The sequence below is a fragment of the Homo sapiens genome, chromosome 10 (assembly GCF_000001405.40).
Source record: "Homo sapiens chromosome 10, GRCh38.p14 Primary Assembly".
Taxonomy (NCBI): domain Eukaryota; kingdom Metazoa; phylum Chordata; class Mammalia; order Primates; family Hominidae; genus Homo; species Homo sapiens.
The window spans coordinates 68,449,733-68,462,715 of NC_000010.11; the positions used below are offsets into that span (position 1 = coordinate 68,449,733).

The following is a 12,983-nucleotide window of genomic DNA, read 5'->3' on the forward strand; positions in this document are numbered from 1 at the left end:
TGAAACCTGTCTCTACTAAAAATACAAAAAATTAGCTGGGCATGATGGTGAGGGCCTGTAATCCCAGCTACTCAGGAGGCTGAGGCAGGAGAATCGCTTGAACCCGAGAGGCAGAGATTACAATGAGCTGAGATCACACCATTGCACTCCAGCCTGGCATGAACCCAGGAGGCGGAGCTTTCAGTGAGCCAAGACCACGCCACTGCTCTCCAGCCTGGGAGACAGAACAAGACTCTGTCTCAAAAAAAAAAAAAAAAAAGTATAAAACAGACAATTTTCTTATTAACATTTATACCTGACTACGGTGTTCAATAGAATTTGATTCTTTGCCAGTTTTAAGTTCCAGCGGCATTATCTTGTATTTTGTTTTATACCCTCGATGTATTTTCACACCAACTGTAACATCTATTTTGCCTTTCAATCCAAACCTAGGGGACCAAATGCTTTCTTCAATATCCATTGGTTTCACGACTTCAATGTTACATGTTGAATTATCCTTACTATTATCACTTGGCCTGAAAAAAAAAAAAGCACAAAAACACTTAATTAGAACTCTTAGCTCATTTCACATCTGCTGGCTCTGACTGCCTATTACACACAGAGAATGTGGGGAGGGGAAAGAGTCTACCTACCTTTACAGCAGTGATTTTCAAACTTGGTCCCTGGACCAGTAGCATCAGCATCACCTGAGAACTTGCTATAAAAGTAAATCCTCAAGACCCACTCCAAACCTACTCAAACAGAAACTCTAGGGGTGAGGCCTAGCAATCTGTTTAACCAACCCTCCACAATTTTGATGCATGCTCAAGTTTAAGAACCACTGTTCTACGGGCTCTGCTCATGGAATTTAGTCTTTCTTGGTATTTATCATCTGTTCCTTTCAGTCATTCCTACTATAATCTTCTTAACTCAGGCCCTTATTTTCTCAGGCCTAGATTACAACAGTTTTGCTACTTAAATTGCTAGAGCCACAATTCCAATCTGAGTATTTTGATATACAATTATTACGCAAATTAGTATGTAATGGCTTGCATGTGGTTGCGCCCTAAGCAATGAAAGATGTATTCCTTCACATAACACTAGATTACACTGATTAAGAATGAGCTGTCTGCTAGGCCTAGTGGCTCATGCTAAGGCAAGCAGATCACTTGAGTTCAGGAGTTCAAGACCAGCCTGGCCAACATGGCGAAACCCTGTCTCAATTAAAAAAATACAAGAATTAGCCGGGAAGGGTGGCACATGCCTGTAATCCCAGCTACCCAAAGGCTAAGGCAGGAGAATTGCTTGAACCCAGGAGGCGGAGGTTGCAGTGAGCCAAGATCGTGCCACTGCACTACAACCTGAGTGACAGAACAAGACTGTCTAAAAAAAAAAAAAAAAAAAAAGAAGAGCTATCTCCATCATCTATGAAGTCTGGGGCTCATTCACCCAACACTTCATTCACACATCCCCAGGTGACAATCTTCAAAGCTTCAAAGGAGCTCATGGTCACTTCCAAGTGTTCCATTTTCTTTACTTAATAACTAAATGAAACCATGTCTCCCACTATCAATATTTAAAGTAAGTACTCAATTTTTTTTTTATAAAAGAGGTTCTGACTTTAATCTCTTAATTGGTAAATAACCCATGAGCACAGAAAGGAGAAAAAAAGGGAACATATAAATGTTGAAGGAACGAGAAGAGGTGGAAATAACTTACAAACCTCCTCTCTTATCTAAGATTTACTCATTTTCAGAGCAGTTACGGTTATTCTGCAGAAAGATAAGAGTTACCTCTTATTAATCCTATCTACTGGGAAAATATTTTACACTTTTAGATTCAAAGCCAGCCACATAAAATACTAAATCTAGTGGAAATCTTACATAAAAAAAGATGACTTTTCTAGTAATAAAACATTTCCTATCAAAATGAAGATTTTTAAAAATAGAATAATTCTAGTGGTTAGAATAGATTATTTAGTTGATTTTTGTTTAGTTCATATTATTATGGTCAACCCCTATTTCTTTTTTTGGACAGCTATTTCTTCCTTTTTTTTTTTAATAGAGACAGGCTTTTGCCATGTTGTCCTGGCTGGTCTCAAATTCCTGACCTCAAGTGATCCACCTGCTTTGGCCTCCCAGAGTGCTGGATTACAGGAGTGAGCCACCACACCTGGCCATGGACAGCAATTTTTTTAACAAATGAGAATATTTTCTAAGAAAAAAAAATGCTGTCTTAAATAATTTTTTATAAAAAAAAAACTATTCCAAGATGCTTCAAATATAATCTCATGGAAGATATGTATCCTTCCAGAATAGTTGAAGAAGACAGTAGTGCAATTCAGAGAAGCCATAATTTATCTAAAATTTCTTTTTCTTTCTTTCTTAGTGAGACAGGGTCTCTCTCTGTTGCCCGGGGTAGAGTGCAGTGGCATGAACACGGCTCACTGCAGCCTTGACCTCCTGGGCTCAAGCAATCCTTCTGTTTCAGCCTCCCAAGTAGCTGGGATGAGAGGTGTGCACCACCACACCCCACTAATTATTTTCAAATTTGCAGAGACAGAGTCTACAAAAGGTGGGGCAACATGGTGAACTCAACCAATCCTCTTGTCTTGATCTCCCAAAGTGCTGGAATTACAAGCAAGATCCACTGCACTGGGTCTGAAATTTCTTAAATATTTATATTCTCTCACCAACTGTTACTTGTTCACGGTGTGTATTCAGATATGCTTTTATTAAATTAGGCAAAACTTATTATTTATGAAATGTCACATGTATACCTAATAGAATACAGGTTAAAAAAACTTTTAAAGTTGTTACTAAAATTCAATGCCCTGGAAAAAGAAGCAATGTGGCTTTATTATTATTATTATTATTCTGAGACAGAGTCTCACTCTGTCACCCAGGCTGGAATGCAGTAGCACGAACACAGTTTACTGCAGCTTCGACCTCCTGGGCTCAAGAGATCCTCCCGCCTCAGCCTTTCAAGTAGCTGAAACTACAGGCATCTGCCATTACGCCCAGCTATTTTTTTTTTTTTTTTTTTTTTTTTTTGTAGGGACAAGTTCTCACCATGTTTCCCAGGCTGATCTCGAACTCCTGGTCTCAAGCAATCCTCCTGCTTTCGCCTCCCAAAGTGCTGGGATTACAGTTATGAGCCACCATGCGCGGCCACTATATGTTTATTACCACAATTTTTTTTTTTTTTGAGATGGAATCTCGCTCTGTCGCAGAGGCTGGAGTATAGTGGTGCAATCTCGGCTCACTGCAACTTCCACCTCCCGGGTTCAAGCAACTCTCCCATTTCAGGCTCCCGAGTAGCTGGGATTACAAGCGTGCACCACCACGCCTGGCTAATTTTTGTATTTTTTAGTAGAGATAGGGTTTCACCATGTTGGCCAGGCTGTCTCTAACTCCTGACCTCAGGTGATCCATCCATCTCAGCCTCCCAAAGTGCTGGGATTACAGGCGTGAGCCACCACACCCAGCCACCACAATTTTTTTAAATGGCAACAAAAATTAATTTCTAAGTACTACTTTAGCTATAGTCTACAAAATTTGGTATGTAACCACCTTTTCTAAATGTGTTAATTTCCTTTATGACTGACCTTTTAAAACATTTATCAACATTTCCTTAGTCTACAAACCATGAGAATTTTAGATATCCTTTTAAGTTCTAACTTTGTTACAGTACAGTTGCGGAACATCGTTTCTAAGATACTGATCCTTTAAAATTTATTGGTGTTTCCCTTATGGCATAATGCATAATCTATTTCAGTAAAAGTTCTGTGTGACTTGAAAAATTATATATACAGTCATCCATTGTATAACAATGATTTCGTCAACCTAGGATAGTGGTCCCATAAGATTATAATGGAACTAAAAAATTCCATTGCCTAGTGACATCTAGCTATTGTGGTAATACAACACACTACCTTTTCTATATTTCAATATGTTTAGATAGACAAATACTTACCGTTGTTACAATTGCCTACAGTATTCAGTACAGTAACATGTAGTACAAGTGTGTAGCCTAGAGGCAACGGGCTATACCATACGGCCTAGGTGTGTAGTAGGCGCTCTACCATCTAGGTTTGCACAAGTACACTCTGATGTTCACACAATGATGACATTGCCTAACACCACATTTCTCAAAACATATCCCCATCATTAAGCTAGCATGAGTGCATTGTATATAAAATGTATATAAGTTTGTGTTTTGACAAAAAAATGTGGGATTTGATTTCAAAGATTCCTTGCAGGTCAAAGATGAGTCTGAATTCCACACTCTTTCCTTAGCATCTGTGATGCCCTTCTTCCAGGATGCAAATCCCTTGCTGACCTATCCTAAGCCTTCTTCAACAGATTCTATTATCTCCTTCTATGCCTTATATGCTGTTAACTGCCAGGGTCCCATGCTGCTTTTGTCACCCACATTTTATCCACCAGCAAACCTCTTCACTTTTATTATTTTCATCTACCACCAATACACTGAGTTCCTGAGGGCTTTAGTTATCCCTGTAACAACAGTACCTGGTATAATCCTTGGCACACATATAGCATTGAATAAATGTTTGCAGAATTTATTAACCCAGGATTCTGAGAATCATGCTTATCATTGTAAAAACAATGGGTTAATTTTAACCAAAAAAAAAAAAACACATTTGGGTTAAGACTCCACCAAAGGAAAACAAACAAACAAACAAGCAAACATGCAGACAGGATGCTAAAACAATTAACAAAAAGTAAAAGAAAAGCTTATGTCCAAAAAAACTACAAAAATAGATATCTACCGTAATTTAAAATGTCAAGCAGCTGGGCGCAGTGGCTCACACCTGTAATCCCAGCACTTTGGGAGGGTGAGGTGGGTGGATCACCTAAGGTCAGAAGTTTGAGACCAGCCTGGTCAGCATGGTGAAACTCCGTCTCTACTAAAAATGCAAAAATTAGCCAGGCATGGTGGCAGGCGCCTGTAATCCCAGCTACTCAGGAGGCTGAGGCAGAAGAATCGCTTGAACCTGGGAGGCGGAGGTTGTAGTGAGCCGAGATTGCGCCACTGCACTCCAGACTAGGTGACAGAGCAAGGCTCCATCTCAAAAAAAATAATAAATTTCAAGCAAATGTAAATGACAAAAAGAAATAAAGGAGGAAGGAGGGGGAAAAAAGGAGGGAGGAGGAAGGAGGGTAAATGAGGATAAATAATTAGGAGCAGTTGAAGATAAAATTAGGATTTTTTTTTTTTTTTTGAGATGGAATCTTGCTCTGTCACCCAGGCTAGAGTGCAGTGGCATGAACTCAGCTCACTGCAACCTCTGCCTCCTGGGTTCAAGCGATTCTCCTGCCTCAGCCTCCCGAGTAGCTGGGATTTACAGGCATCCGCCACCATGCCTGGCCAATTTTTATATTTTTAGTAGAGACGGGGTTTCACCATCTTGGCCAGGCTGGTCTCAAACTCCTGACCTCATGATCTGCCCACCTCAGCCACCCAAAGTGATGGGATTACAGGCATTAGCCATCACGCCAGGCCGATAAAATTAACTTTCTTAGTGTTACAGAACATTCACAGAGACCAGAATGTTATAAAGCAAAGCAAGGAACTAGGTGAAGGATGACTACTTGATAAACACAGTTTATCACAGTGAAGCCCAATATCCAACCCCTATGTCAGTCTGTTCCAAAGAAATAACAAAAAATGAAACATTTATAAATTTATTTTTAAAACACAAGAAAAACTAAACAATCTATTCACTCTAGCTTTTTTCTTAGTGTAGGGAGCTGGTGGCAAATTTATGACCACTACAGAAATAAAAAATATAAAAAACAAACTCAGCCGGGCGCAGTGGCTCATGCCTGTAATCCCAACACTTTGGGAGGCTGAGGTGGGTGGATCACTTGAGGTCAGGAGTTCGAGACCAGCCTGGCCAACATGGTGAAACCTCGCCTCTACTAAAAATACAAAAATTAGCCAGGCGTGGTGGCTCATGCCTATAGTCCCAGCTACTCAGGGGGCTGTGTCACAAGAATCATTTGAACCCAGGAAGCAGAGGTTGCAGTGAGCCAAGATTGCACCACTGTACTTCAGCCTGAGCGACAGAGCGAGACTCCATCTCAAAAACAAAACAAAACAAACAAACAAACAAACAAAAAACTCAACTCTAACAGCAAGACAAGCCTTTTTTTAAACTACTAAATATTTTTAAAATACATGTGAAAATCCCATTAGAGGGCCAGGCATGGTGGCTCACGCCTGTAACCCTAGCACTTTGGGAGGCCAAGGCAGGAGGATCATTTGAGTCCAGGAGTTCGAGACTAGCCATCCTGGGTAACATGGCAAAACACCATCTCTACAAAAAATACAAAAATTAGCCAGGCAAAGTGGTGTGCACCTGTAGTCCCAGCTACTCAGAAGGCTGAGGTGGAATGACTGTTTGAACTCAGGAGGCAGAGGTTGCAGTGAGCCTAAATCACACCACTGCACTCCAGTCTGGGCAAGAGTGAGACCTTGTCTCAAAACAGAGAGAGAAAAAAAAAAGTAAATGAGATCAAGGCAGAAACTAGCACACACAAGTTAAGGAGCCTGCTGTAGTTATACAGCTAAATTACAGCCAAACTGGGATTCACATCCAGGCTCATTATATCATTCGAACCACAGGGAATAGGTCCAAAGAACTAACTACTGCAAAGCTTTGTGACTCACAAATCTTAAAGCATTTTTGTTTTTTGAGGTGGAGTCTCGTTTTGTTGCCCAGGCTACAGTGCAGTGGCACGATCTCGGCTCGCTGTAATCTCTGCCTCCTAGTTCAAGCAATCCTCCTGCCTCAGCCTCCCGAGTAGCTGGGATTACAGGCACCCACCACCACGCCTGGCTAATTTTCATATTTTTAGTAGAGATGGTGTTCCACCATGTTGGCCAGGCTGGTCTCAAACTCCTGAGCCAGTTGATACAGTGCCTCAACCTCCAAAAGTGCAGGGATTACAGGCATGAGCCACCATGCCCGGACCCCCTTAAAGCAAATTTTTTAGATCACAAAATGTTATAAAATATTGAAAATATTGAGAGAACATTGAGAATATTAGTATACATGGAAGTCGTGCCTATTTAAAGAAAAATAAAACTCTGCCAGTTTAAAAAAAAAAAAAGGAGCCGGGCACGGTGGCTCACGCCTGTAATCCCAGCACTTTGGGAGGCCAAGGTGGGCGGATTACAAGGTCAGGAGATCGAGACCATCCTGGCTAACACGGTGAAACCCCGGCTCTACTAAAAATACAAAAAATTAGCCAGGCATGGTGGCAGGCACCTGTAGTCCCAGCTACTCAGGAGGCTGAGGCAGGAGAATGGCGTGAACCCGGGAGGCGGAGGTTGCAGTGAGCCAAGATCGCGCCACTGCACTCCAGCCTGGGCAACAGAGCGAGACTCCATCTCAAAAAAAAAAAAAAATGGAAATCAGATAAAAACCCTCCAATGGCTTCCATTCTAATCAGAGCAGCAGCCAAGTCCTGACCAGGATGATAAGGCTCCAGGGGAACTACTGCTGCTCTTCTCCTACTGCACTTTGCTCTAGCCATCACACTAGTTCGCTGAGATACTGCACACACAGCTAGTATGTGTCAGCCACAGGGCTTTTGCCGTTTCCCCTACCTAGAACATTCCTCCTACAGACAGCTGTACGGTTCACTACTTCATTTCCTTTAAGCTTCTGCTCAAATGCTACCTTATGAGGAAGGCCTTCCATGAACATTCTATGGAATATCCCTGCCACCACTACCTACCTATTCTCCCTTTCTTCTTATCCTCCTCATTGTTCGGCACTGCATTAATCACAGTCTGGTCCCCTGCTGTTTACTTGTACAGTGGTATAGAAACTCCACAAAGTAGGCAGTTGTATGTTTTGTTTTGTTTTTTGCTACCATGATCCAAGCACCTAAAACATTACTTGGCATATATTAGACACCCAATAAATATTTGCTAAATGAATAACAGAAAAAAACATATTTCCCCTATAAAATTATAACAATGCCACTTTGAGAAAAAAAAAAAAAAAACTTGAAAATACACATAATGCCAAACAGCATTAAATGGCTAAACACAGTAAATATATAGCACATCCATATGACAGTCAACACATGACACAGACTATATGCTAGTAACACAGAAAAATACACATGAAAGAATCAAATGAGGCCAGGTACAGTGCCTCATGCCCGTAATCCCAGCAGGTTGGGAGGCCAAGGTGGGAGGATCACTTGAGGTCAGGAGTTCGAGACCAGCCTGGCCAACATGGTGAAACTTCATCTCTAATAAAAATGCAAAAACTAGCCAGGTGTGGTGGCACACACCTGTAATCCCAGCTACTCAGGAGGCTGAGGCAGGAGAATTGCTTGAACCCAGGAGGTGGAGGTTGCAGTGAGCAGAGATCACACCATTGCACTCCAGCCTGGGGGACATAATGAGACTCCGTCTCAAAAAAAAAAAGAATCAAATGATAAAAATTAGGACCCCCAGAATATTTATAAATTGATTACTTTATAAGAAAATACAGACCAGGCATAGTTGCTCACACCTGTAATCCCAGTACTTTGGTAGGCCAAGGTGTGTGGATCACCAGAGGTCAGGCATTCAAGACCAGCCTGGCCAACATGGCAAAACCCTGTCTCTACTAAAAATACAAAAAATTAGCCGGGTATGGTGGTGGGCGCCTGTAATCCCAGGTACTTGGGAGGCTGAGGCAGAATAATTGCTTGAACCCCGGGAGGCGGAGGTTGCAGTAAGCCGAAATCATGCCACTGCACTCCAGCCTGGGCAACAGAGCAAGACTCTGTATCAAAAAAGAAAAAAAAAAAAAAGAAGAAGAAAGAGGCTGGGCACAGTGGCTCATGCCTGTAATCCCAGCACTTTGGGAGGCTGAGGCGGGTGGATCACCTGAAGTTAGGAGTTCGAGGCCAGTCTAGCCAACATGGTGAAACCCTGTCTCTACTAAAAATACAAAATTAGCCAGGTGTGGTGGCAGGCGCCTGTAATCCCACCTACTTGGGAGGCTGAGATAGGAGAATCACTTGAACCTGGGAGGCGGAGGTTGCCGGGAGCAGAGATCAGTGCCACTGTATTTCCAGCCTGTGCGACAGAGCAAAACTCCATCTCAAAAAAAAAGAAAGAAAAAGAAAATACATATCTACATATAGAAAATAAGCTATCATAATAATGAAAATAAAATTTTCTATTCACTGGGTTCTTTTTTGTCATGGAAAGATACTTAGGACCATAATTTATAAAATAAGCAAGCAAAATGGCTAATTGTAATTACTCAATCTTTAAAAACTTTGATTCAACACACAGAATGGCATCCTGGTCTAAAAATATGAAGACTATATATATAAACAAAATGTGTTTCTTACAGAGAGAGCTGCATCTGAGGGAAGTCAGTCGAAGTGTTTTTATGCATGAAATCTCCTGCCCATTTACAAAACGAAGGAAGATAGTCCTCTACTTCTTGTTTTATTTCATCTTGACTTAGATTTAAGCGGTACCTGCCAAAAATATAATAGTAAATAGACTTAGACTTAAGCGGTACCTGCCAAAAATATGATAGCGAATATGAAAGTATAAATATGAGAAAAGTAAACGAGGACAAAAAAATACATATAAGCAACCCAACTGTTCGTCAGCCAATAAATGGATAAACAAAATGTGGCATATTCCATACAATGCAGTATTATTCAGCTATAAAAAGGAAGGAAATTCTGACATATGTTACAACATTGAAGAACCTTCAGGACATTACGCTAAGTGAAATAGGCCAGTCACAAAAGGACTAATATTCATATGAGGTACCTACAGTAGTGAAAATCACAGAGATAGAAAGTAGAATGGGGGTTGTCAGAGGCTGGGAGGAGGAAAGAAGGGAGCGTTATTGTTTCAAGGGCACAAAGCTTCAGTTTGGGAAGATGCAAAGAGTTCTGGAGATAGATAGGGTGATGGCTGTACAACAAGGTGAATGTACTTTGCCTCTGAACTGTACCCTTAAAAATGGCTAACATGGGCAGAGCGCAGTGGCTCACATCTGTAATCCCAGCACTTTGGGATGCGGAGGCAGGTGGATCACAAGGTCAGCAGTTCGAGACAAGCCTGGCCAACATGGTGAAACGCTGTCTCTACTAAAAACACAAAAATTAGCCAGGCATGGTGGTGCATGCCTGTAATCCCCGCTCCTTGGGAGGCTGAGGCAGGAGAATTGCTGGAATCCAGGAGGCAGAGGTTGCAGTGAGCTGAGATCGCACCAGTGCACTCCAGCCTGGGCAAGAGAGCAAGACTCCATCACAAATACACACACACACACACACACACACACACACATACAAGTTAACATGGTAATTTTTTTTCTTCTTTTTCTTTTTCTCTTTTCTTTTTTTATTTTTTGAGACAGGGTCTCACGCTGTCACCCAGGCTGGAGTGTAGTAGCGCTATCTCGGCTCATTGCAACCTCTGCCTTATAGGCTCAAGTGATTCTCCCCACTCAGCCTTCAGAGTAGCTGGAATTACAGGCACACACCACCATGCTAAGGTAATTTTTCTGTATTTTCAGTAGAGATTGGGTTTCACCATGTTGGCCAGGCTGGTCTCAAACTCCTGGGCTCAAGCAATCTGCCCACCTTGGCCTCCCAAAGTGCTGGGATAACAGGCATGAGCCACCGCACCTGACCTAATACGGTAATTTTTTTTTTTTTTTGAGAGAGAGTTTCACTCTTGTTGCCCAGGCTGGCGCGATCTCTACTCACTGCAACGTTTGCCTCCCAGGTTCAAATGATGCTCCTGCCTCAGTCCCCTGAGTAGCTGGAACCATAGACATATGACACCACGCCCAGCTAATTTTTGTATTTTTAGTAAAGACGGGGTTTCACCATGTTGGCCAGCCTGGTCTTGAACCCCTGACCTCACGTGATCTGCCCGCCTCGGCCTCTGAAAGTGCTGGGATTACAGGGGTGAGCCATTGCACCTGGCCTAACACGGTAATTTTTATGTGCATTTAACCACAATTTTTAAAAAACATCCAAATAACGCCAAGCATGGTGGTGTGAAACTATAGTCCCAGCTACTCAGCAGGCTGAAGCGGAAGGATCGTTTCAGCCCAAAAGTTTGAGGTTACGTGACCTGTGATCTCACCACTGTACTCCAGCCTGGGTGACAGAGTGAGACCCTGTTTAAAAAAAAAAAAAAATCCAAATAACACTGAAACAGTGACATGACATCAAATTTCAGATAATTTGCTCTAATTCATACCATGGTCTAATTGGAAGAGTCCCAGTTACACCTTTGGGATTAAAAAAATGGAGATATTGCTCCTGAAACCAAGCAATGGAAAGTAGAAATGTAAAAGAGAAAAAAGGGTCATATGGACAGAAAGGCAGTATCAGCCTTACAACATGAAAGGACAGTATATAGGAATGTTAACTTCTTATGTGAGAAATCTACAGAAACAAAAAAACTAAGTCTCAATTTTTCAGGGTTCTTACAAGGTCAAAATTATGTCGTAACAATATGAATACATTTTTTATCATTTTCCTTTCATAAGAGTACAGTTGAATTTTCTGAGGGTACATGACATAAAACATAGAAATATTTTGAATGCAGAAGCAGATACAAGAATCCACGATCTTATATGAAGTCATACATTTAAAACATTTGCAAAAATAGAGGCTTGGTCTACACCCATACCACCCAGAACGCAGCCGATCTCATCTTATCTCAGAAGCTAAGCAGGGTTGAGCTTGGTTACTACTTGGATGGGAGACCACCTGGGAATATTGGGTGCTGTAGCTTTAAGAAAGAAAGAAAAAAAATGGCCAGGCTCTGTGGCTCATGCCTGTAATCTCAGCACTTTGGGAGGCAGAGATGGGCAGATCACCTGAGGTTGGGAGTTTGAGATCAGCCTGACCAACGTGGAGAAACCCCATCTCTACTAAAAATACAAAATTAGCCAGGCATGGTGGTGCATGCCTGTAATCCCAGCTACTCGGGAGGCTGAGGCAAGATAATTGCTTGAACCCGGAAGGCGGAGGTTTCGGTGAGCTGAGATCATGCCACTGCACTCCAGCCTGGGAAACAAGAGTGAAACTCCGTCTCAAAAAAAAAAAAAAAAAAAAAAAATAGAGGCTGGAGGATTGTTTGAGGCTACAGTGGGTGATAATTTCATCATTGCACTCCAGCCTGGGCAACAGAGAGACACCTTACCTCAAAAAAAATAAATAAGGAAGAAAGAAAGCAAAAAGAAACTGAAAAAAATGTAAAACAATGACATTCATTACATTTTTTTACAATAGTTTTTTCATTAAAATGTTATGTTAACAAGCATAGATTGATATTTTTGAATGAAATACATTTTAGGCTAGGTGCAGTGGCTCATACCTATAATCCCAACACTTTGGGAAGCCAAGACGAGTGGATCACTTGAGGTCAGGAGTTCAAGACCAGCCTGGCCAATATGGTGAAACCCTGTCTCTACTCACAAACACAAAAATTAGCCGGGTGTGGTGGCAGGCACCTGTAATCCCAGCTACTCAGGAGGCTGAGGCAGGAGAATTGATTGACCCAGGAGGTGGAGGTTGCAGTGAGCCGAGGTCATGCCATTGCAATCCAGCCTGGGTGACAGAGCAAGACTGTCTCAATAACAACCACAGCAAAAATGAATATACATGTTAATTTCAAATGAATTAATAAACATGTTTTACTTTCTAGTACAGTAATTAATCATAGATATAGCCCACATAAACAAAAGCTCTTTCCAGTCTTTAATAATTTTTTAGTGTAAAGGGGTCCTGAGAGCAAAAGTTTTGAGAACTGCTGTTATAAACTTACCCTCCCAGGATGATTATTCCAGTTCCTTCTTTATGTTTAAGCTCCGCAATCTTAATAACTACTCTAGGGTGGTAGGGGCTTATCAGTTTGTATATAAAATCACACCTAGGTTTGAATCCTAACTCTGCACTACCAGATGTATGACTAAGAGCAAG

At 41.6% G+C, this 12,983-nt stretch overlaps 1 protein-coding gene and 1 pseudogene across 5 annotated transcripts in view, besides 3 other annotated features; one reads left to right on the top strand and one right to left on the bottom strand.

Annotated features, from left to right (window-relative positions):
* The window catches only part of DNA2 (DNA replication helicase/nuclease 2), a 58,458-nt gene that overhangs the window by 35,669 nt on the left and 9,806 nt on the right, over nucleotides 1-12,983 (bottom strand). For 4 of the 5 annotated variants that reach the window (NR_102264.2, XM_006717680.3, NM_001080449.3 and 1 more), the window contains 2 exons: nucleotides 9,372-9,503; nucleotides 296-515 (listed from right to left, as the gene is read on the bottom strand). Coding sequence is in view for 3 of the 5 variants with exons in the window: in XM_006717680.3 (XP_006717743.1) it covers nucleotides 296-515; nucleotides 9,372-9,503 (352 nt within the window). In the remaining 2 variants the exon portion in view is untranslated. Of the gene's footprint in view, nucleotides 1-295; nucleotides 516-9,371; nucleotides 9,504-12,983 lie in introns of those variants that run through there. The other variant, XM_011539417.1, reaches the window with a different exon arrangement.
* Nucleotides 757-926: an enhancer, noted in NCBI's record as "experimental_16686/16687 CRE fragment used in MPRA reporter constructs". NCBI's record gives its function as "activates a minimal promoter by MPRAs in K562 erythroleukemia cells, with activity observed for the non-introgressed 10:70210331 or rs1554907764 variant allele {active_cell/tissue: K562}" and the evidence as "EXISTENCE:reporter gene assay evidence [ECO:0000049][PMID:34662402]".
* Nucleotides 842-843: a transcriptional cis regulatory region, noted in NCBI's record as "Neanderthal adaptively introgressed variant 10:70210331 (GRCh37/hg19 assembly coordinates) or rs1554907764 in the experimental_16686/16687 CRE". NCBI's record gives its function as "modulates activity of the experimental_16686/16687 enhancer by MPRAs in K562 erythroleukemia cells {active_cell/tissue: K562}" and the evidence as "EXISTENCE:reporter gene assay evidence [ECO:0000049][PMID:34662402]".
* Nucleotides 1,463-1,632: an enhancer, noted in NCBI's record as "experimental_16694 CRE fragment used in MPRA reporter constructs". NCBI's record gives its function as "activates a minimal promoter by MPRAs in K562 erythroleukemia cells, with activity observed for both the introgressed and non-introgressed 10:70211037 variant alleles {active_cell/tissue: K562}" and the evidence as "EXISTENCE:reporter gene assay evidence [ECO:0000049][PMID:34662402]".
* RNA5SP319 (RNA, 5S ribosomal pseudogene 319) lies at nucleotides 11,675-11,793 on the top strand (annotated as a pseudogene).